Genomic DNA, 23883 nt, shown 5'->3' with positions numbered 1-23883 from the left:
TGTGCCTCAGGCTCGATCTGTATCCTGAGGGATTGGTAATCAGTGTGTGTATCAGGTGAGATCTGTACCCTGAGGGATTAGGAATCCATGTGTGCATCAGGTGTGATCTGTACACTGAGGGATTAGGAATCCATGTGTGCATCAGGTGTGATCTGTACCCTGAGGGATTGGAAATCCATGTATATATCAGTCATAATCTATACCCTGAGGGATTGGGAATCAATGTGTGTATCAGTCATGATCTATACCCTGAGGGACTGGGAATCTGTGCATGTAGCAGGTGTGATCTGTACCCTGAGGGATTGGGAATCCATGTGTGATCAGGTGTGATCTGTACCCTGAGGGATTGGGAATCCATGTATGTATCAGTCATGATCTGTACCCTGAGGGATTGGGAATCAATGTGTGTATCAGGTGTGATCTATACCCTGAGGGATTGGGAATCTGTGTGTGTATCAGGTGTGATCTGTACCCTGAGGGATTGGGAATCCATGTGTGTTTCAGGCATGATCTGTACCCTGAGGGATTGGGATTCCGTGTGTGCATTAGGCATAATCTGTACCCTGAGGGATTGGGAATCTGAGTGTGTATCAGGTATGATCTGTACCCTGAGGGATTAGGAATCCACGGGTGTATCTGGCGTGATCTGTACCCTGAGGGATTGGGAATCCGTGTGTGCATCAGTCATGATCTGTACCCTGAGGGATTGGGAATCCATGCGTGTATCAGGTGTGATCTGTACCCTGAGGGATTGGGAATCCGTGTGTGTATCAGGCATGATCTGTACCCTGAGGGATTGGGAATCCGTGTGTGCATCAGGCATGATCTGTACCCTGAGGGATTGGGAATCCGTGCGTGTATCAGGTGTGATCTGTACCCTGAGGGATCGGGAATCCTAGTGTGTATCAAGTATGATCTGTACCCTGAGGGATTGGGAATCCGTGTGTGCATCAGGCATGATCTGTACCCTGAGGGATTGGGAATCCGTGCGTGTATCAGGTGTGATCTGTACCCTGAGGGATCGGGAATCCTAGTGTGTATCAAGTATGATCTGTACCCTGAGGGATTGGGAATCTGTGTGTGCATCAGGCATGATCTGTACCCTGAGGGATTGGGAATCTGTGTGTGTATCAGGTGTGATCTGTACCCTGAGGGATTGGGAATCAATGCATGTATGAGGCATGATCTGTACCCTGAGAGACTTGGAATCAATGCATGTATCAGGTGTGATCTGTACCCTGAGGGACTGGGAATGAATGCATGTATCAGGTGTGATCTGTACCCTGAGGGATTGGGAATCCATGCGTGTATCAGGTGTGATCTGTACCCTGAGGGATTGGGAATCCATGCGTGTATCAGGTGTGATCTGTACCCTGAGGGACTGGGAATCCGTGCGTGTATCAGGTGTGATCTGTACCCTGAGGGACTGGGAATCCGTGCGTGTATCAGGTGTGATCTGTACCCTGAGGGACTGGGAATCCGTGCGTGTATCAGGTGTGATCTGTACCCTGAGGGACTGGGAATCCGTGCGTGTATCAGGTGTGATCTGTACCCTGAGGGACTGGGAATCCGTGCATGCATCAGGCATGATCTGTACCTTGAGTAAATGATAACCTTTGTATGTACGTAGCAATCTTTACATATATAGATGCTCTTCTTTTCATAAATGAAATAACATTTGTTTTTTAAAAATGACAAGTGATCTTTGTTCAAGCGAAAACAATATCCTCTGTTTTTTTTCACCACTTGTTCATGTTCTTTAGAGAGTTCAAGAGTCGGGCCGGGCGCAGTGGCTCACTCCTGTAATCCCAGCACTTTGGGAGGGCGAGGCTGGTGGATCACCTGAGGTTGGGAGTTCGAGACCAGCATGGCCAACGTGGCGAAAACCCATCTCTACTAAAAATACAAAAATGAGTCACGCATGGTTGCAGATACCTATAATCCCAGCGACTTGCGAGGCTGAGGCAGGAGAATCACTTGAACCTGGGGAGCGGAGGTTGAGGTGAGCCAAGATCACGCCACTGCACTCCAGCCTGGGTGATGGAGTGAGACTCCATCTCAAAAAAAAAAGAGTGGAAGAGCCTTTGTTTTTGGATAGTTGGCCCAGTTTCTCTCAGAGTGTGTTAATCACATTTTTCAATTTCTTGTTCTCATTTCCTTAAGTACCACCTAGTCTTTATAGTAGTTGGCAAGTCACAGCACAGAAGTCAGTTATGAGAACATGCAGATTCTCCTAACAGTTATAGAAGCCCAGGGTTTCTGAGGAGAGAAACCGGAAGTTGCCTGTGCTTCTTCCAAGGTGAGGCCATTTCTGGTCACTGCTGAAAAGCAGTCAAGATACTGAACTGACCTGAACTTGACTGGATTGATTATAATCTTTCTCAAGATTGACAACATGCTCCGCCCCTCCATGGGAGGCCGGGGAAACACTGATGTACCCAATATCATTTTTTTTTTTTACTGCCTCAGAGCCGTGCAGCAATGGCAGGAAGAACAAACAAAAAGCCTCCTTTTGAGAAAGCACATTGTAAACAAAAATAAAATTCTAAGCCCTTCAACCAACTGAACGGACCCTTCCTCTTGGCCAAGGGCATTCCAAAGTTAACCTGATCAACGAGTTCGGGCCATGATGGGAAGGGGTGTTTGGATATGCTTTGTTGTACCCTCCTCCCTGTGGCATCCAGCCCAGCTGACCAGCATTAACATTAAAACAGAGACCTTACGACTGACAAAACACACGCTTTCTAGCAATAAGATACCAACATGACAGAGCAGGCCTTAAAGAAACGGAAGTATTTCTCCCCAAAATATATTTCTTTGACATATTTTGGAATGGTCCTGTAAAGCTGTCTCTTGTGGGGAAAATCTATATTCTGTAGAGAATCCCCTTTCCCTTACCACATCTTTTCCCTGATCCAGGAGAGAATTAACTAAAGTCTGGCACCTTTTTAAGTCTGGTAACAAACATTTACAATCTGTTCTCTCTGAAGCCTGCCACCTGGAGGCCTCGTCTGGATAAGAAGAAGCTTGGTCTCCACAACCCCTTGTCTTAACCCAGACACTCCTTTCTACTGATTCCAGCTCTTTAGATAATAACTGGACTCTTTCAACCAACTGCCAATCAGAAAATCTTCAAATCCACTTCTTCTGCCCCTGCCAATGTGAGTTGTTCTGCCTTTCTGGACTGAACCAACGTGAACCTTACGTGTATTGATCGATGTCTCATGTGTCCCTAAAATGTACAGAACCGAGCTGCAGCCTGACCACCTTAGGCACATGTCCTTAGGACCTCGGGAGACTGTTCCTGGGGCCATGGTCACTCATATTTGGCTCAGAATAACTCTCTTCAAACATTCTATAGCGTTTGACTCTTTTTGTTGATGATAAGATTATCACTATGATCTCGGTGTCATTTCACAATCTCCTTTTGCCTCCTACAGTGCTATCCCATCAGTAAAATAGAACATGCAGACGCTGGCTAAGTTTCACTGTGGCTGGGTAGCAAACTCACTCGCATCACAGTCTCATGGATGAAACACACGTGACTTCTCAGTTTCTCGACAAGTGATCGCATCTCACTCCTGAGCCTGAACCTGCCAGCGCTAGGAATGGGGCAGGACTGCGAATCAAGATTTTGTTCAACCGAATTTATTAATTTAAAATCTCTTCTTCAGTAAGTGCTCCGTTTCCTCAATGCTTGGTTGCCCACATTGCCTCTCTCTCCTCTTTCCACCATTTCTCAGCACAAAGGGAACAGAACAACAGTTTGCTCCCCTCCCATCCATTGCATCCTCCTCCTGCTCTACAGCAGCGGGGGTCTCCTGGCCATGCCCTCCAGGCACAAAGACAGCCCACCTCCCATCCTGGACCAATCGTGTGATCACAGACCTCCAGGCTGAGTTCCGCATATGCTTAAGAGATTCATAAAATTCTCTCTTCTCTCTCTCTCTCTTCCTCACTTTTGCTCACTCTTATTCTTTCACTTATCCTTGCTCTCATCCTCTCTCCAAAGTCTAGCCTGTGGTCTTACTGTCTTGCTGCAGACAGCAACAAAAATCAGGTTTGACTGTCCCAGCATATACCTGTAAACTGGAAGAGCAGGAAGCCACTTTTCCCTTGCAGGGGAGGGAAGACAACCCCCCTGCTCTCTGAAGGTTTGATAACTGAGTCTATGAAATACGCAGACAGTAGGCAGATGAGTGGGAGAAAAGGCAAACACATGTATTATATGCACAGGGGCAGCCCAGGGAAGAAAAGTGAGTGCCCAAACCCAGTGTGGTCTGGAAGCCCACAAACCTCTTCCCAGGGAAAGAGGGGAGGTGCGGGAAGCCTGGGGTGAGAGAATGACCTGGGGGAAGGTGAATGGGTGATGCCTGTGACTGAGTCTGCCTGGATGTCCTGTGGACCCCAAGTCTCTCCTGGATAATCCTCCCAGGTTGATGAGATTCCCAGGGAGGAGATGCATGACAATTGAGCTCCTGTTGGAGAGTTGGGTTTTTAGGCAGATAGGCAGGTTCAGAGAAAGCCCCTCCCTGCATTGCTGCTCCTCCAGTGCCCTCCATTTGAAGCAATCAGTATATTTTGCGGTCGCATTTCCTGAACCCTTTTACTCTTGGAGCACTGCAACCCACAGCTTCAATGACTGGGACACCCAGAGCATGAAGATTTACGGGAAATGGAAAAATATGCCTTCAAGTACATCTCAAAAGACACTGTGCTCATTATGAACCATCTACAATATGAAGGGAGATGAGCATAAGGAGTTTTCTTTTTCCTCCCCTTCCTCCTTCGTGAATAGCCTCAAATTTCATTAAAAAATGTCTGAGAGATGTGTTTATCCAAATGACACAGCTGTAGGAGGGGAGGTCATTAGGAAGAAGTTCCATGGAAAAGAGGAAAATGAAGGTTGATTGTTACCAATAAATTAGAGTAATTTTCTTAATTTGCGGTCCCTTTGCTTGCTTGTTCATTGCTGGCGTGCCTTATGAAATATGAAAATCTGACAATTAGTCACTTGGAAGGAGCATGTCTCCACGCCAAGTCCAGGTCTCTCTGCAGCACCAGGGGATTTACTGTTCTCCCTGGGTAGCCAGAAAAGAGCTGAGCAGCCCTCATCTTTGTTCCCACTGGCAGCCTGAGAGGCAGCCTGCAGCAGCCTCCTGCTGTGACCTTTGGGGTGGGGCTGGGAGACAGCGTCTTCATGACTGACCCCATGTCAATCCCTTACTGGCAAAGGAAGAGGGAAGGCGTACAGGGGCTCTGGAGCCAAGGGAGGGGGGACACCAACAGAACGAGCAAGTCAAACACACACAGCATTACATTCTTCTCGTGCTAAACCCAAGAAAAATCTCCCAGCTCTCACAATGCTCCTTGCTAATCTCCCTTTCTGGCTATTATTCAGCTACTGTGAATCCTTCTCAAGCTTCCAGCTTCCTTTTAGCTGTAGAAAGAGAATGAAAAAAATGTACCCTAAGACCTTGGATTTTTTTTTTCTTCCTTTTCTGTTGCCAGTGAATCTGTTTGAAAAGCAGCTGGCGCAGGCTGCAGCATTATGTGCCAGCGCTAATGGAGACACTCCAGGCACAGCCAAACATGGGCTTCGTGCAGGCGTGCACTCCCAGGAGGGTGACCTGCCAGTGACACGTTTCAGACATGCACTCCCGGGAGGGTGACCTGCCAGTGACACATGTTTCAGACCCAAAGAGGGAGTTTGGAACATTGAAACTATTTCCCCTCTTTATTTTTTTTGGAAGGTCACATACATTTTAATAGTTCCATGATCAAAATTGCTGCTTCCAAGCAAGTTAACTAGAGCAGACCTCATCTCATCCCCTCCCCGCATTTCCTTTTGGGAAATTCAGGAAGTTGAGTATAAACATGTCTGGACATCTAAGTATTTATTTTTCCATAGAAAGGGCAGTCTTGCTTTTGTTTTGTTCTTAACCAGTTCTTAAAGGGCCTGATCATTTATTCAGCAATATGTATCAAGTGCCAACCATATACTAAACACTGTGGTTTAGAGTGAGGATACCCCAAGGACGAGGTGGACAAAGTGCAAAGCGTGAGTGTTACTGGCAAAACCAAACTCTGTAAAACAGCTGAAGAGGTTTATTCTGCACCAATATGAGTGGCCATGACTCAGAGAACAGTCTCAAGGGGTCCTGACAGAGGCTGTCTGAGGTGGTCGGGTTATGGCTTGGTTTTATAGATTTTAGGGAGAAAGAAGTTACAGACAAAGACATAAATCAGTACATGTACAGTGTACATTGGTTCTGCCTGGAAAGGTGGGATATCTCAAAGGTGAGAAGTGGGGGGCTTATAAGTCATAAGTAGATTCAAAGATTTTCTGATTGGCAATTGTTTGAAACAGTTAAGCTTTGTCTAAAGGCTTGAAGTTGGTAGAAAGAAATGCTTGGGTTCACATAAGGGGAGTTGTGGAAGGCAAGGTCCTTGTTATGTAGATGAAGCCTCCAGGTAGCAGCCTTCAGAGAGAATAGATACTGAATGTCTCTTTTCAGAACTTAACAGGTGTCGGACTCTGTTTTTTTTTTTTTTTTTTTTGAGACAGAGTCTCATTCTGTCACCCAGGCTGGAGCGCAGTGGCGCAATCTTGGCTCACCGCAAGCTCCACCTCCCAGGTTCACGCCATTCTCCTGCCTCAGCCTCCTGAGTAGCTGGGACTACAGGCACCGCCACCATGTCCGGCTAGTTTTTTGTATTTTTAGTAGAGACGGGGTTTCACTGTGTTAGCCAGGATGGTCTTGATATCCTGACCTTGTAATCCGCCTGCCTCAGCCTCCCAAAGTGCTGGGATTACAGGCGTAAGCCACCACGCCCAGCCAGGTGTCAGACTCTTAGTTAATCTCTCCTAGATCGGGAAAGGCCAGGCTGCATGAATGAAGATTCTCTACAAACTTCCTCCATGAAAGATGGCTTTGCAGGGCCATTTCAAAATATGTCAATGAAATATATTTTAAGGTAAAATACACTTGATTTCCTTCAGAGAGTGCTATCTGTCATATGATGCTATACCAGAGTCAGGTTGGAATTTGTTATCTTATTGCCATGGAGTCTGTTTTGTCAGTGTTATGATCTCTGTTTTCATGTTAATGCTGGTCAGTTGTACCTAAACTCCAAAGGGAGGGGGCATAGCGAGGTGTGTCTGACATCCCTTCCCATTGTGGTGGGGAATTCAGTTTTTCAGGCCTCTCTGGTGTATTAGTTTGTTTTGCATTGCTATAAAGGGATACCTGAGACCAGATAATTTATAAAGACAAGTTTACTTTGGCTTACAGTTCTGTAGGCTGTATAGGAAGTGTCTTGCCAGCATCTGCTTCTTGTGAGGCCTTAGGAAGCTTCCAATCATGGTGGAAGACTCAGGGGGAGCCAGCGTATCACAAGGCAAGAGAGGGAGCAAGAGAAAGAGCAGTGAGGTGAAACTGCTTTTGGAAAGATGATGACAGTGAGAGAAATCTGACATAGGTGACTCCATCTTGCTTCCGACCTCCAAGCTGTCCTTGGTCATTCCTGGATGTAAGCCAAGCTAACCTTGGGAAAAATTTAGTTTATAGTTTAACCTTAAGACAAGGATGATAACAGCCCTTCCCAGAACTGAACCACCTTTCTAGAACCAATGAAAGACCTCATGGTTAGGATTATGGGAGGGGCCTGAACCTGCTAAGAGACAGGTGTTGTTCCTACAATCCCTAACTACTCAGGGGTCACGTGGCCAGGGGTCACAAGATTTGAGACCTTCTCAATTGCTCCTATGGATGACATCACTACTGTAGAACCTAAGATGGGTTTTCTGAGATGTGTTTCAGACACACCCCACCTGGACTCCTGACTCCTGACTCACCTGATCCTGTGGCTCCACCCAGCAGCTGACTCAGAGCACGGGGATTGTTTCTGCACCCTGTGATTTCATCCCCAACCAATCGGCAGCGCCCATTCCCTAACTCCCCGCCCACCAAATTGTCATAAAGACTCTAACCTCTGAGCCTTCAGAGAGACCAATTTGAATGATAGCTCCAGTTCTCCCATGTGGTCCGGCTTCGTGTCAGTTAAACTCTTTCTGTACTGCAATGCTGTGGTCTCAGTGGATTGATTTTGTCTGTGCAGCCAGCAAGAAGAAACTGTCTGGCAATCACAGAGGTGCCGGGTTATTTTAGACAACCAGCTCTCCCATGAACTGATACAGCAAGAACTCACTCATTACCATGAGGATGGCACCAAGCCATTCATGAGGGATACATCCCATGACCCAAACACCTCTCACCAGGCCCCACCTGCAACATTGGGGATTACATCAGCATGAGATTTGGAGGGGACACACATCCAAACCATATCATTTGAGGTCTCCTTGGCTCAGAAGGGATCCATTCAGTCGGTTGAGGGCTTAGAGTTTTAGTTTTTGTTTACACGAGGCATGAGCGGAACTTATAAATGAATGGGGCAGAGGAGGACATTAAATAAGTAAAAATAAACCACCATTATGTGTATTTTGTTTTGTTGTAACTGCTGTGGCACTGTAAAGGAAATGAACAGGGCCTCTGACGTAATGGTATTTAGTGGGATGAGAGGTGCAGTAGAAATTATGGACTGGCTTTTCAGCTCCTGTTCCAACCCATTTATGGAATCACTTTCTGAACTACAGCTAGAATGCCTGTTTGAACTGCAGAGGCAGAGAAGAAAGAGAAGAAAGAAAGGACAAGAGAGATGAAAGGGAAGGAAGGAAGGGAGGGAGGGAGGGAAGGAAAGAAAGATGGATGAAAATTACACTTCCCAGCCTCTTGTAGCTAAGGTCTGACTGCCCCCCATCCCCTGCTTTGTGAGTCTTAGGTGAAGAAAATGAACAGCATAGCTCTCTGCAGTGGCTGTATCATAGCCAATGAGGTTTATCCAAGGCATGATTATTGCTAATTGAAAATGAGCAGCGCAAGGCAGTGGACCTTGTGAGGAGTTGAGATATTTTCACACACCTGGTGACAGAAGCACTAGATTCTTCTAGACACCTCCGCCAAAGCACTTTGCCTGTTCTCTGGGCTTGTAGGGGCTGAGAGGAAGGTGGTGATAGTGAGCTTTCCACAAAGTGGTGTCACTTTGCCCAGCAGCTATTCCTCCTGCTTGCAAAGCTTCCCAGCTCCCTTCCCCATGGTAACCGCCTTCGCTTTGCATCCATCACAGGATCTTGCACCTGAGTATTTTCCAGGTCTTCCCCCAAGGACAAACAGCGCTTTTGCTTCTTCCCCTCCCCTGAAGCAGTATCTGTGTCAGGGACAGTAGCTGGATTGTCCTTCCCTGTCCAGATCTTCCTCAGGAGCACACAGTGGAGATGGTGGAAAGAGCTAACACTAGGTGAATGCAGGTTCTCCTTGTGTCTCAGGCCCACCGGGGCTTTCTCAACCATCTAGCACACAAGCTCACACTCAGACTTTAAGAATTTGCTACATTCTGGCTGGGTTTTTTGTTTTGTTTTTGTTTGTTTTGTTTCGTTTTGCTTTTTTTGTTTTTGAGACGGACTCTCACTCTGTCGCCCCCCGGACTGAAGTGCAGCGGCGTGATCTCGGCTCATGCAACCTCCGCCTCCCGGGTTCAAGCGATTCTCCTGCCTCAGCCTCCCGAGTAGCTGGGATTACAGGCGCCTGTCACTATGCCTAGCTAATTTTTGTATTTTTAGTAGAGATGGGGTTTCACCATGTTGGCCAGGCTGGTCTCGAACTCCTGACCTTGTGATTCGCCTGCCTCGGCCTCCCAAAGTGCTGGGATTACAGGCGTTAGCCACCGCACCCGGCCCATCCTGGCTGTTTTCTTCCAACCTGCTTTTACGGCTGCTCCATCCACCCTCCTCTCACACTCTGCCAAGGGTGAAACCATCTGTGCGGCCCGATTCTCCCCGAGGGACCTGTCACTCCTCAGAACTGACTTCACTTGCTTGCCTTGCAACCTCAGCTTTCTGAAGTGCTCAAGAAAAGTTGGCACTGTGAAGATCACATGGCTTTTCCTCCTTGCTAAGGTGGGAGTGACATCTTTGTAAAGCCATCTACATATGAAGTGAAAACAGGATTCCCTGTTTCTGTTTCAAGATCCCACATGGGTGGTCTGAAGTTTAGTTCCCTCCCAGCAAGGGATCAACAGCATCCATGCTGCCAAAAGCTTCAGAAATGAACTCTGTGTTAACTCCGCGCATCTTTGAAGGGCCTACTATTTGCACATCACTCTACGAAGAGCTGAGATACTGAGATGAATGAGGCACAATCCTTGTCTTACCCTCGCTCACAATCCTGGGGGAGGCAAGGCACAGAAACGAGCGTCATAGAGTCATGAGTGCCGCCCCGAGAGTGGGAGAAACACGGTGGGAACGTGCATCTGAATAAGTAGCAGGCAGGGGCATGAGGAGGCAGAGTTATTTGAGTTGCTTCTTGAATTTTGTGTAAGTTTTCTATACTGAGACAGTAAAGAGGCATTCACAGAAAAGTGTTCCTTCTATTTCTCATTCTCTGATACACAGTTCCATTTCCTGGAAGAGTTTGCCTGGATCAGAACTCTCTAGATCCCATAGGCTGACCTGGTCTTAGCCACAGTGAACTCTGTGTCTGCGTCCTGCAGGTGAACCCAGCATTTCGCAAGGTCAGCGGGTTCTGCGGTGGCAGTATTAATAATAGAAACTTCGCTGCATTTGAATAAAATCAGTATTTTTTTCTTTAAAAAGCTTGATGCCAATATCTAATCTGCTTTCTTTCATATTTGTCCTCTCAATATTTATTTTTATTTTATTTTTTTTTTTTATTTTTTGTTTGTTTTGTTTTTTGGAGACAGGGTCTCACTCGGCCCTAGGCTGCAGCTGGAGTGCAGTGGCGTGATCTCGGCTCACTGCGACCTCTGCCTCCTGGGTTCAAGCAATTCTCCTGCCTCAGCCTCCCGAGTCGCTGAGATTACAGGTGCCTGCCACCATGATTAATTTTTGTATTTTTACTAGAGATAGGGTTTCACCATGTTGGCCAGGCTGCTCTCAAACTCCTGACCTCAAGTGATCTACCTGCGTCGGCCTCCCAAAGTGCTGGGATTACAGGCATGAGCCACCACGCCCCACCTGTCCTCTCAATATTTGTATTAACCTCTATATTTGTTGTCCCTGGAGGGGTGGATGTCTGGATATTAGTTTATTTGTTGGAACCACTGGGGTGTATTTCAGCACTGGTCTGGAAAGAATGGAGAGGCTTCACCGCTGCCAAAGCTCTCCTGGTTCGGCCTCACCTGGACGGTCGACTACATCGGTGCCGAGACAGGAACGGTGCAGCCCAAACAAGGACTCACTACAGTCAGACGCCCACGGGAACAGGGCTCATCAGCCAAAATCTAGTCGTTTTGTGAAAGGTGAGCCTGCGGCACGTTGAATGTAGAGAAGAGTTTTAGCAGAAGGTGTCAAGTCCCAGGCGTTGGAGTCTGGGGATCAGTCTGTGAACAAACCCAGGCTCAGAATCTGGTGAGAGGGGCAGAACAGGAGCAGGAGCCAGGACGGGAGCTGGGTGCCCAGCTGGGCCAGGGTGGGCAGAGTCCAGCCCCGCTGTCCCCTTCACCACCACTGGAGCATCGTTTCAGAAAGCCGTGCACGTCATCCACACAAACACACACAGACCACAGCTTTAAAAGCGGAGCCATACTGAACAAAAAGAGCACAGTCAGTGTGCACGGCAGTCCACACGCATGGTGCAGTGGGATTTACTTTAATGTATTAAACGTGGTAACAATACACACTGGATGGCAACTGTCGGAATAGATATAAAACATGTATGTTACAGGCACAAACCTTGTGATTTTAAGAACTAGAGAAAGATTTTTCAGCAATTGAGAAGTTTCCCTTTTTGTGACCTACTAACTAATGAAACAGGTTGACAAAGAGAGTATCGGACTATAAAAAAGGAGGAAAGACGGATCTTGTAGGAAATTCTGCAGTTTGGTCCCACGTAGGCTGACACACCAATGTTCTCCTGCCTTGATATTTAAGGGTCCCCCTGGGCCGGGGTCAGTGTGTGAGCCCTGCCCTGTACAATTCAATTCTGTTTGCAAACTAAACTGCTGGCCCGTTTGTGGTTGCCTTGGCACTCCTACTTAAGTCTTTTGCTGTTAATATTTTGAAATTTTGAATAAGTATGAAGGTAAAATAGTTGTCAACATTTGCCGGATATGATCTGTTTATATTATTTTATTTATTTTATTTGTTTTGAGACTGAGTCTCGCTCTGTTGCCCAGGCTGGAGTGCAGTGGCCTGATCTTGGCTCACTGCTCCCTCCGCCTTGTGGGTTCAAGTGATTCTCATGCCTCAGCCTCCTGAGTAGCTGGGATTACAGGCTCCCACCATCATGCTCCACTAACTTTTTTTTTTGCTGTATTTTTAGTAGAGACGGGGTTTCATCATGTTAGCCAGGTTGGTCTCAAACTCTTGACCTCAACTGATCTGGTGCCTCGGCCTCCCAAAGTGCTGGGATTACAGACATGAGCCATCGCGCCTGGCCACCAGGTATGATCTTAACTATTTTAAAGGTCATTATAAAAGAACTTTCCTTAAAAATCACTTTAAGCAAATGTTTCCTTATTAGAAGTGTTCCTTTGCATCCCATTTCCCTACTGAAGCATATGAAAAGGCATTTTCTCTTGTTTTGTTTCTGAATCTGATATTTCATTGAGAATATTTTTCTTGCAAGGGTGAGAAAAGTCACTACTCTGTTGTATAATTTGAAGCCAAGTATTACCATCCAATTTTTATCCTAACAGAGCAAAAAATTCAGCCATCTAAGTATTTATGATCATCCCCTTCTCAGTATTTTAATAGCTTGAAAGCAATTTTAAGCAAATTGGTGGTGGTATCTGGTAGCAAATATAACCTTCTCCAACGTAGGGCCCACACTCCCCATCATCCATTTCTGTCTGTACCAAACACACGCATGCTTATGGTAATGGTTGTGCAGAGGCGGCTGTCCTGTGTGGCTGCTCTGGAAATGTGGGTTATACCATCCTTGAAGAGAATCCCTGTGGGTGAATTATAAGAGGTTGAAGACACATATTGTCCAGAGTTTAAAGTCACAAAAAAATAAAGCATTTTCTTCGTGGTAAGACTTATCGGTAGGGCTAGAAAGGACGTAATTACATAGAATATAAATTATGTTTTCATTGCATGTATATAAATGGTGATGTTATATATCTAGGTAAAAATCCTGAAACATAGAAGTGAATTAAAGAAGTGTTTTAAATAACAGATAAATGTGCATTTTCCTCAATAATAACTCATTTATTCAGTTTTATACTTTTACATTGTTTTATGCTTTTATTTGATTCTCATCATAAGTCTATGAGGTGGACAAGGAGATATTGTTTGCTCATTTAGCTGATGACAAATTACATGCATATTTAATCAAGATAGAAAAATCTTGATTCTCCCTTGGCAAAGCTGAACTAAGGATAGATTAAATACATGCTGCACTGCCCCAAAGACCAGATAAAACCCTGCAGCTGTCATTACCCAGACAAGGGAGGCAAAGCCAGGATGATTCTGCCCTGGATTTTGTGAACTGTGTCAATCCATTCCCTTTGCTTTGGGAGTGGTATATTGCTCTGGGAATCACTGACAATATGGGAGGAGAAATAAAAACAAGCTTCTTGATTTCCAGTTCTGATCTCTGAGCGCTAGAGGACAGTATTGTTCTCTGCACAGCGCGCGGAGAACCCGTTCTAGGAGAAGTGATGGGACCCCCGCAGTCAGTATACCCCACACCTTCCCAGGCTGGGCCTGGGCCATACGGATCAGGGATGGGATGTGGCTTTGCATCTCCAGTTCCAGATGGCATCTCGTTCCCCAGCCCTGTGCATTCACAGAGCTTTGGCCTCTGTACTGAGTAGCGTGGGATGTATGAGGGGAAAGAGACAGTCTGTTCATTTACATGTTCTGCGTTGGGGTTTCATTACGTCTTTTAGCCCTTGAAACCTCTTCCTAAGTGATAAGCTATCAATGAGTGATTGTTATCATAGGCTCAGAGATTTTTCAGCCTGATTTATTTAAACTCTAGAGAAAGGAAAACAGGAGATGATGGCTTTGATCATGCTATTTGCTATTCTGAAAATTACAAAGGGAGGGGAGAGAGAGAAAAAAAATCTCTGCTCCCCTAATGAACTACTATATAAAAACTGCTATATAAGAAGATACGCGGTGCGATCCCCAGTGTAACGTACTTCACTGATGTTCAACATGCTTCCGTGGGCGTGTGTGGGTGGAAAGATGTTTCTTGTTACTGCCAAACAATCCAGTGTTTCTAGAGATAAAAACAGCCTGTAAAAGTTTTCTACTGTGGAGAATGACAGGCTTTGTGGCCTATGTGATATGTGCTCTCTATAGTCCAGATGAAGACAGTAACTACTGATCTGTGAAACCTCTGCAACACAACGGGGCTGCTCACGGCCACACGCCTGGCCTCACAGGTGACGCCTTCGCCCTCCTCTGGGTTCCCTGTTTCTCCCTCCTCCGAACTGAGCATCTGTCTTCTTCTGACAAGTACTTTCTGCTACCTTGTGCTTCAAGTCAATTTCTAGAGACACCAGATAGATTTCAATTCTGTAAAGATTTACTACGAATCACACAGTGCTGGACGACGTGCTAACACATATTCACATATGATGCTGGCTCCAGAGCTCAGTAAGCTGAGCACCTCCAACATCCCCCTCACAGCCATGGCCTGTCCTGCAGGTGCTGGTTTCTGCTGCAGACACAGGCTCTCCAGGCAGCCCTGTGCTCTTTGCAGCTATTCCTGGAAGCCTTGGGACGTCTCACCGATGCCCTCCATGTTCGGTTCTGCACACCTGCCCTTCTACGAGTCTCTTCTCTCAACGCCTCCTTACCCGGTTGCTGTCCATATTGCAGAAGAGGGCAGGGCCCAGGGAGCTGAATCCCGGCAAGTCCACGCTGCTGAGCTCCCAAGACCTTCAGTAAAGTAGGATTGTCTCTTTCACACCTAGCCCTGCATCCACCGCCATCGACCCAGGGTAAGGACCAGCACATGAAGGCCAAACTCCTTCCCTCGTTTCCCTTTACACCCATGTCTGCCTGTGAGAAGCCCTGGCTCATTCTCCTTCAGCCACAGGCCTCAGGAAGTCTCCTCCCTAGCGGTTGTCTCAGGCACTCTGGGTTCCAGCATGGCCTACGTGAAGCCTTCCTTAAAAGTGACAGCGCAGGACGTCCCCACTCAGGAAGCTCACACTCACGACTGTGCCTCTTCCTACACTCAGTAGAGTAAACTGTTTACAGTAGATGCTGACCAAGTGTTAGGTGAGAGTGGTGACGATGAGTGTGGAAATCTGCCTTAATTTTATGAGTTACCAACCTGTCATTGACTTCATGTTCATTCTGGCAAGAGCTAAGAGAGATACTATTGAGTATTTTAACACAGACTTCACTTGCTTGGGTGAACTGTAGACAGAATCCATCTTTAATGACCTATTTCTGTTACTGAACTGAACTGGTGTCTGCTCTCCTGTGGGGTGAGGCCAAACATCCACACCGTGGTTTGCAGCAGGGGAAAGCAAGGTGTTTATTTGCAGGATGCCAAGGAAAGAGAATTGGGCAGCTTACAATTGAGACCTGACCTCTCGGTGGCTTACAGGTAGGAGATTTTAAATCTGGAGAAGCAGAGATTGCAGGCAAAGAAGTCAATTAATATATTGAGGCTCTATATTGGTTTGGCCTAAAAAAGTAGGGTGTCATGAAGCAGGGTTCCACAGGTCACAGGTGGATTCAAAGATGTTGGGGTTTGCAATTGGGTAAGGAGGTGAAGCTTTATCTAAATACCCCATGACTTTACCAAACACCCCATGACTTCAACTCCCTTGGTTATTGTTTTAAGCTACTATTACCTTCTTGCTGGTCAAGTTGCTCATTTACTCTTCAGGGATAGCTGGGTGCCTGGAATTCCCCTTGAAGAAATTCAAGATTTTTCTTTCATGCTTGAGGGACTTGCAGGCCCCTAAGAGGGATCCCTGCTCTGTCTCATTTCTAATGGTTTGTTGTTAGGAAACCTCTCTAATGAGACCATGAAGTTCTTGAGGTGAAGGCACTGATCTTATATCTCTCCTTTTTTTATCTTATTGTTGTTACACACACTCTCCATAAACTCCATTTTGAGAAACCCAGGTTTCAGCTGCCACTGCTTGTGTTTCTTGCTCAATCCCTCTTGTGTCCATCTCCAACAATCCTCTCTCAGAGACATCCTTCAAATCTTTGCTAAAATGTCACCTTCACAAAGACCTTTTCTTACTGTCTTATTTAAAGTGGCAGGCCTCCTCTCCCCCATCGTGGCATCATTTTACCCCCTGGCTTTTATCACCACCTGACATGCCATATATTTTCACCTTGTTTATTGCCAGCACCCGCCTACCCCACTACAAAATAAGCTCCATGAGGGAGCTTTGTCTATTTAGTCCACTACTGTATCCTCAATGTCTGCAAAAGTGTCTAGCACATAATCAACACTTCATAAACAGGTGTTGAATAAATAAATCCATCAAGCATTTCACACAGCATTTTCCCCAAAGCAGGCAGTTAGGAAATATTTATTTGAGCTAACACAGCTATGTTTTCATCAGTTCAGGAAAGTGGAAGGTCAAGGGTCACTTATAGAAGGTGCCACCAGAGCCTAGGGTAGCTCACCAACTGTTAAAATCTCCAGAGAAGGGATAAATGCAATCTTGGGGGGTAGCAAAACAAGCAAAGAATGTTTTGATATGAAGTCCTTTGGAATTGGAATTATGGAAGGCCCTGGAACTAGCTGAGCTTCTAGGATGATTAGTGGAGGATTTCAAAACCATTTGCACTGCAGTTCTCTTTTGGTGGTGTCAGGCTTCCAAACCAAAGACATGTCTAGAAATGCAGGACAGCATATCACGGGGACCTCTGTAACAGCAACAAAACCCCATGGATAGCATGTGACGTCATGGTAACAAAGCTTCATGCTACAAAACACAGAGAGATAGAGGGTGTTTAGTGGGATAACACTTTGCAATAGTAACCGTTCTTGATATTTCCTTTTTTTTTTTTTTTCCCACCTGGGAGACTAGATATGAATTTTCCATTGCCCAAGTGTTATTTGACACTGCAGAATGCATGTGTCTAACCATGTCTTTTTATTTTATGTATATTTATGGTTTGACATTGGAGTCTGGCTGAGCCTGGGGGGACTGGCAGTCAGTTAGCTTACTACTGTCTCTAGTTAGCCGATTCCTAGAGACAGTGAAGGACCCCCGCCTCCAGAGAGAGCCTTTCAAATGCACATGAACCAATCCAAAGCCCATGCCCCTAACCACGTCCTCTACTGGGGATCTCAAATTCAACATGATTCCCCCTGCCCTGATCACCCCAAACCAGGTACCAGACAGTTAGGGACAGGCCCTATGCCCAGAGTCTGCTGAAATTATTCAAGCTCTCCACCCTGAGCCTGCTCACCCTGCCTTGCCTGCTCCTTCCCATGGAATCCTCTCCCCAGCATTCTCCCCCTGCTCACTCTGCCTCCTGCCTGACCCGGGTGCTACCCGTGTGGCCACACACTGTAGGCGCTCACTCCTCTTGGCATCTGTGAGCATCAGACTTTTTTTTCAATGGTAGTCATCTCCTATCTACTGGTCTTGCCCTATCAAAATTATAACAAAACCTGTGCTTTAAAACAGTATAGGGAAGAAAAGAAGTTAATTCTTGGCATTTCAGGGCCTCTGTAGCTGCGGTACTGGCATATGAACAAACAACTACATTAACAACAAAAAAGATTGGAAAGGATGCACATTCTAAAATTTGGAGAAGAGGAAAGAAGAAGAGAGATGTGGAGGTCATAGGGCGGGCCCCAAAACTGACCTATTCATGCCCCTCTGCTCCCTTCCCCAGGGCTCAGCTTGAAGGAAGAGGTCAGGGTGCTGAACGATGGCCTGAGACACCCTAATAACCAACACAACCAACACCCCTTCTCTCTGCAGGTTCTCTCTGCAGCTCTAGCACCTGGCATCCTCAGACATCTTCTTAATACTCACGCAAGTTCTACAGATGAGAAAATGAGGCTTCAAAAGATGAAGACCACACGATGACTGAATGGATGGTGCTGAGTTATAATAGCAGTATCTGTCATGTATGGGTTGCTTCCTATGGGATAAGCACAATGATGCCATTTCATTTTATCCACTCAATGGCATACACTGGGATAGCATAACAATAGAACACATGGGACTCTGAATTCTGCAGGCTAGGTTTAATTCTGTTTCTGCTACATAATAGCAAAAGAGTTCATCTTGATTCTGCTACATAATAGCAAAACAGTTCATCTTGATTCTGCTACATAATAGCAAAACAGTTCATCTTGCTTTAAGTCATAAGTCACGGCTCCGAAAAGGACACCCCAAGTATGGCCTTGACCTGCTGAGGACTTTGAACTAAAGGGCATTGGAAAGCCTCAGAAGCAGCCTCAGAACCAAGTCTCTGACCTTCTCCTGCCCTCCTGTCTCTCGCCCCTCATTCCCCCAAGAAGTGAGTCATAGAAACCAGAAATCCTCTTCCCTAAAGCAGGTCACGGAAACTAGAATCTCTTTCCCCAAAGCCAGCCATTAGAAACTAGAATCACTACTGGAACTTTCCCTGCCTTTCTGAGTAAGAGCTGGCCATAAAGAAGTTCTCTGACTTACTTTCCTGAAAGTAGGTTATAAGACCCTCATTCCAGAAGGGGCCCTGCCCTACACGCAGGAAGAAGGAACGCCACACAGGGAGGCCAAGAGGAACCCAGACAGGCCCAGCTGGGTCCCCCTCTGTCTGTCACTGTCCCATCGCTCCCTCTGTGTCCAGTCACAGCTCCGCAGGGCTACCACTCTTCATCAAATCTAAGCATAGAAATGGGCAGTTTTCCCTTGGTTCTTTGGGTCTTCATTTCCTAAGGCTCCCATGTTATGTAAAACTTTGATTAAACAAATCTGTGTGCTTTTCTCTTGTTAACCTGTCTTTTGTTACAGGAGAATCGGCAGTGGCCCCTTAGCATGGTGGCACACGTCTGTAATCCCAGGTACTTGGGAGGCTGAGGCACGAGAATCACTAGAACCTAGAAGGAGGATGTTGCAGTGAGCTGAGATTGCACCACTGCACTCCAGCCTGGGCAACAGAGCAAGACTCCCATCTCAAAAAAAAAATTAAATTAAATAAAAATTAAAAAAAATTAAAACTTAGGCCTGGTGCGGTGGCTCATACCTGTAATCCCAGCACTTTGGGAGACTGAGGCAGGCAGATCATGAGGTCAGGAGTTCAAGACCAGCCTGGCCAACATGGTGAAACCCCGTTTCTACTAAAAATACAAAATTAGCGGGATGTGGTGGTGCATGCCTGTAATCCCAGCTACTCAAGAGGCTGAGGTAGGAGAATCGCTTGAACCTGGGAAGTGGAGGCTTCAGGCAGCCGAGATCGTGCCACTGCACTCCAGCCTGGGGGACAGAGCGAGGCTCCATCTCAAAAAAAAAAAAAAAATTAAAACTTAAGTAAAAATATAAATGAATTGAACCAGGAAAGTTCTTGCTGTGAATGTGACATTTTGCCATTTTTTTATTTCTTATCCCTTCTCTTTTACAAATTTCCCTAGATTTTGAGGGTAAAATTATCTCACTGTAGTCATATTTCTGTCTTCATGTTTTACTCACCTCCAGAGTATGTATCGCTTTCCAACGTGTGGCACATCGTCTTTTATATTTTTAGTTTTGTATTCTTTGTCTCCTCTCTCTGGAATGCAAGTGCCTGCGGGCAGGGCTAGCTGTCGTTTGATTCACTGCTGTCACATTGGAGTGGAGAAGTGCCCAGGATGCAGGAGATACTCAGTAAACGCTACTGACTGAGTAACTGTGAGAAAGAAGAATTCTATAGTGGAATTAACAGAGCTGTTCCCGATTAGTGATTGAAACAGGACTATGTGTGATCTGAGAGGACAGAGACGAGGAGATGGGACCGAGACTGAGTCACACAGTTCCCGCACTGGCCATTCTGTGGCTCCCTTAGCCCAGGGTAAGCAGGTTGAATCCAAGGAGGAGAAAGGGTGACATCCATTTAACATGGGCGGTGAGATCGCATGCAGAGGCAGAGAGGAAAGACACAAACTCACAGAACAACTGGCTTCCAAGCATTGCTTTTTCTGACACTTCCATGAATTCAATGCAACATTAATAACTGTCATCCCTACTGTGATGGATCAAACTTCAAATAATAGGACACATGCGCTGACCAAATTATATATCTGGGAAATAGTGGGTTTAGAACTTTCTCAGGCCGGGTGCAGTGGCTTATGTCTGCAATCCCAGCACTTTGGGAGGCCAAGGCGGGTGGATCACCTGAGGTCAGGAGTTCGAAACCAACCTGGCCAACATGGTGAAATGCTGTCTCTACTAAAAAATACAAAAAATTAGCCAGGCGTGGTGGTGGGCACCTGTAATCCCAGCTACTCGGGAGGCTGAGGCAGGAGAATCGCTTGAACCCAGGAGGCGGAGGTTGCAGTGAGCCGAGATCGCATCACTGCACTCCAGCCTGGGCAACAGGAAACTCCATCTCTTAAAAAAAACAAAACAAAACGAAACAAAAAAAACTTTTCAAAGAAATCTCTTATCATTTGAATATCATGACATTTCCTTATTAATAATTGAAGAGCAAAAATTCTAGGTATTTTATGAGTTTAAATAATGTGCTCTCAAATTTTTATTGACTGAGTGCTCTGTTCTGTATTTCCAATTAGGGTAGAATTGTGCATCTGATTATGATCAGTGATCAATGATACATTTCATAAAATCGGTGGCACCCAGTGTTGGGAGGGTCCCATATATCATTTCATCTGTTCCTTATGTCTTTGGGTACAATAAAAAATCGAGTAAAAGGGTTGTGTGTGTGTAAGAAGAAAATAAAATATTTATTAGGTCTTCTTTTATTTTAAATCTTTAATCAAATCCACAGCCATCCAAACTAGCATATTCTATGTCCCTAGATTCTCAGAAATAAATCTGAGGAAAGCAAAACAAAATTAAAGAACATCAAGTTCTTACATTTGATCAGTTGGTTGAATTCACATGAATATTTACATGTGGCATTGGAATGAACTAGTGAGGAAGGTGTTGGTTAATCTATGTGGAATCCATATGAATTTTGTAGATCATTAAAATAATAGTGGAAATAACAGAGGGCCTTAAACCTTGAAGAGATAGTGCATCCTTTTCACAAACTCTGTTAAAAGCACCGTCTGTCCCTTTTAGTACGGCAAGCGATTGCAGAAAACAGTAGGGAAACACAAGGTAAATCAGTTTTCTTTGTTGTTCGAGATTATTTTCTGAAAGTGTTTAAGCTGGTTTCCTTTAATAAAGAAAATCTCATGCTAAAAAATGTAAGCATTTGGCATGTCTTTCACAGAGGGCTTGGAAAACAAGTCCCCTCTATATCATACACCTGGAGTGTTTAATCCCAAATTTGTTAATGTATAGACTTGATGATTTAAATGATAAAACTGCAGACCTTCTTACGGAATTGAATTCATTGAATTCTTTCTAAAACATCCCACAGGAGGCACTCATTTAACTCTGACTCCTTTCTTTGCATTTACAGCCTGGAGAGTTAAACAGCAAAACCTGGATGGGAAAACCAGGGTTCCCAACTGCGAAATTTAGGAAGTAACAAGTCATCATCTTCTGCAAAGTGAGAGGGAAATTTTCAGAAAGCATTAAACAGTGACTTTCTTCTCATCACAACTTAGGGCCATTGCCAGATGTTTGTGCCTGGCCACAGTTCACGTGGGGAGGAGACAATTCTGGCTGACTAGCCACTGTGGGAGGCATTCATCCTGTAGATGTTCTGGAGGGTGACAGATCTTCAGTTTCAGCATCACACATAACCGGCTAGAGGCAAATTTGTAAGGAGACATTCACTGCTTGAGATGTGACTTACTATCTGTAGACAGAGAAACCAGATTTTTCTATAGCTGTAATAAATGCCCTTTATCAAGAAAGTGGCTAGCCCATTATAAACTCATTGGAAGAGACAAAGAATTTTTAAAAAGAGAAACATGAAGAAAAAAATATATAGGTCAGAAATATAGGGTCAGAAATATCATCCCAGATACTGTGTTCACCAGTTCCCAGAGACGGGGGATTTTGGTCAATGCCAGAAACAAATTCATGTAACTTGTAGCTTGGTTGTGTGTGTTTACACAAGTGCAAGAGGTGACTCCAGTGTCGCTGTGTGGGCTGGTTCCATTTTCCCATCATTAGACTTCTCGTGGTTGCGGAAGAGACGGGTGAACTTGGTGTCCCACGTCTTCGGCTTGGGGGCAGCTTCCACTGTGATATTTTGCTTCCCATGTCCCCAGAGTGTGAACCTGTCCTCACTTTCCCATGGGACGGTGGCCACGCTTGTGTGTGTGTGTGTGTGTGTGTGTGTGTGTGTGTGTACGTATGTTCCTCCTGGTCACCTTACAAGCCTGAAAAACAGATAGGGTCACACTAACAGTGATGACAGTGCTGTCACTGGCACAGGACACGAGCATCCTGCCAAATTCTCCCGAGACACTTTTGAAGGTCACTAGGTGTGTGTGTGTGACAGAGAAAGGGATGGCGGGAGCAGTGGGTTTCACTGTCTACTCAGAACCTGCAGACCTCAGACCTCCACATGGCACGCTTCGCTAATTCTGCCATGTGCCAGGAGCTGCGACCCTTTCTTCCCACCTCAGACTCGTGGCAAGGCACTGACGGCCTCATCCTGCAAAAGCAAATGAAAGGTCATCTGTGGAGAAGTGAGGAGCATGTCGCTTTCGTAACTCCATGTTCCTTTCTGTTGGCTAGTGCAACCTCAAGTCACTGAGTTTTTTTTCTTTTTTCTTTAAAGATGTCCGTCTCCCAGGACCAAGTCTGTGGATGTGGGGACGGAGCTGAAAGGCAGGTGCCTTGCTGCACTCAGGTGCACGACGCCTCCCACCCCCATGATGAAGGCTTTGTTCCCAGCGGCTTCAGCTGCCTGAGTCCTTCTTCGCTCGCACTGGGCTCCTTTACGTGAAGAGATCTCCGGTGGCCTCAACAGTAAGCCAGTCACACAGGTAGGTCCATGTTTAACGCTCAGCCGAGGCTGCAGTGGAGCCCATGTTAACATACGTGTTTATACTGCCTATGCGTGTGTGTGCACACACGGACACACACCAGTGTTACTCAATGATGGCTGCTCATTGAAATCACCAACCCGGTTTCCAAAATATATGAACACCTGGACCCCACCCGTGACCATGTGAAACACAGTCTCCAAGCAGTGGGTCTCACACACCTGTTGTTTTTAAACTCTCTGCAGACCATTCTGATGCACGGTGAAGACCAATAACCGTGGTGTGTACACATGGTCTAGGGTAGGGCTGTGCCCAGCAGTGTTTGAAAGCGCGCAGGTAATGCAGGGTGCATGCAGGGCTGCAACCGCAGGCCTGGGCTGCTGTTGAACTAGGTACCCACCGGACAGCTCAGGTCAGCTCTGGGGCACATGATGAAGCTAACCCGTGTAGGACATTTACCACATTCCTCCATAACAGAACACATTTTCATGGTTCTCACCTCAGGCTATGTCAAAATCCTTTGTAGAGCTCCAGCAAACCCTGAGTTTCTGATTGCAAAAGCCTGAGGCAAAGTTTGCAGATCTATTAACTTCTTAAAGTTCTACTGCCTTAATTCTACTTACATGTCACAGGATACACGTGCCACATTAATGCATCAGGTAAATCGTAATTAGTCAGCTGATTGGGGAGAAGTTCTTTCAATGTTGTGGGTATAGACATGACCTTCCACATAGAGTGGAGAATACTTTTAAGCCTAGTAGGT

The 23883-nt window shown here is 45.8% G+C and overlaps 2 long non-coding RNA genes and 1 pseudogene across 3 annotated transcripts in view, besides 1 other annotated feature; 2 read left to right on the top strand and 1 right to left on the bottom strand.

Annotated features, from left to right (window-relative positions):
• Nucleotides 7139–8338: an enhancer, noted in NCBI's record as "BRD4-independent group 4 enhancer chr4:186948264-186949463 (GRCh37/hg19 assembly coordinates)". NCBI's record gives its function as "activates an origin of replication core promoter dependent on BRD2, P300/CBP, MED14 and CDK7 cofactors, and independent of BRD4, by STARR-seq in HCT116 cells {active_cell/tissue: HCT116}" and the evidence as "EXISTENCE:reporter gene assay evidence [ECO:0000049][PMID:35650434]".
• Nucleotides 8862–8992, top strand: RNU4-64P (RNA, U4 small nuclear 64, pseudogene; annotated as a pseudogene).
• Nucleotides 12483–23883, top strand: part of LOC124900830 (uncharacterized) — a 32841-nt gene continuing 21440 nt past the window's right edge. For both annotated transcript variants that reach the window (XR_007058420.1, XR_007058419.1), the window contains exons 1-2: nucleotides 12483–12520; nucleotides 22913–23120. This is a non-coding gene — a long non-coding RNA (uncharacterized LOC124900830). The remainder of the gene's footprint in view (nucleotides 12521–22912; nucleotides 23121–23883) is intronic.
• Nucleotides 16567–18136, bottom strand: LOC124900829 (uncharacterized). Its single transcript, XR_007058418.1, has 2 exons — nucleotides 18061–18136; nucleotides 16567–16995 (listed from the first exon to the last, which is right to left on the bottom strand). It is a non-coding gene; the product is annotated as an uncharacterized LOC124900829 (long non-coding RNA).

Source organism: Homo sapiens, chromosome 4 (genome assembly GCF_000001405.40).
Source record: "Homo sapiens chromosome 4, GRCh38.p14 Primary Assembly".
In the NCBI taxonomy this organism is placed as follows: Eukaryota; Metazoa; Chordata; class Mammalia; order Primates; family Hominidae; genus Homo; species Homo sapiens.
Note: the sequence above shows the minus strand (reverse complement) of the source record. Positions and strands in the feature narration are given on the sequence as shown.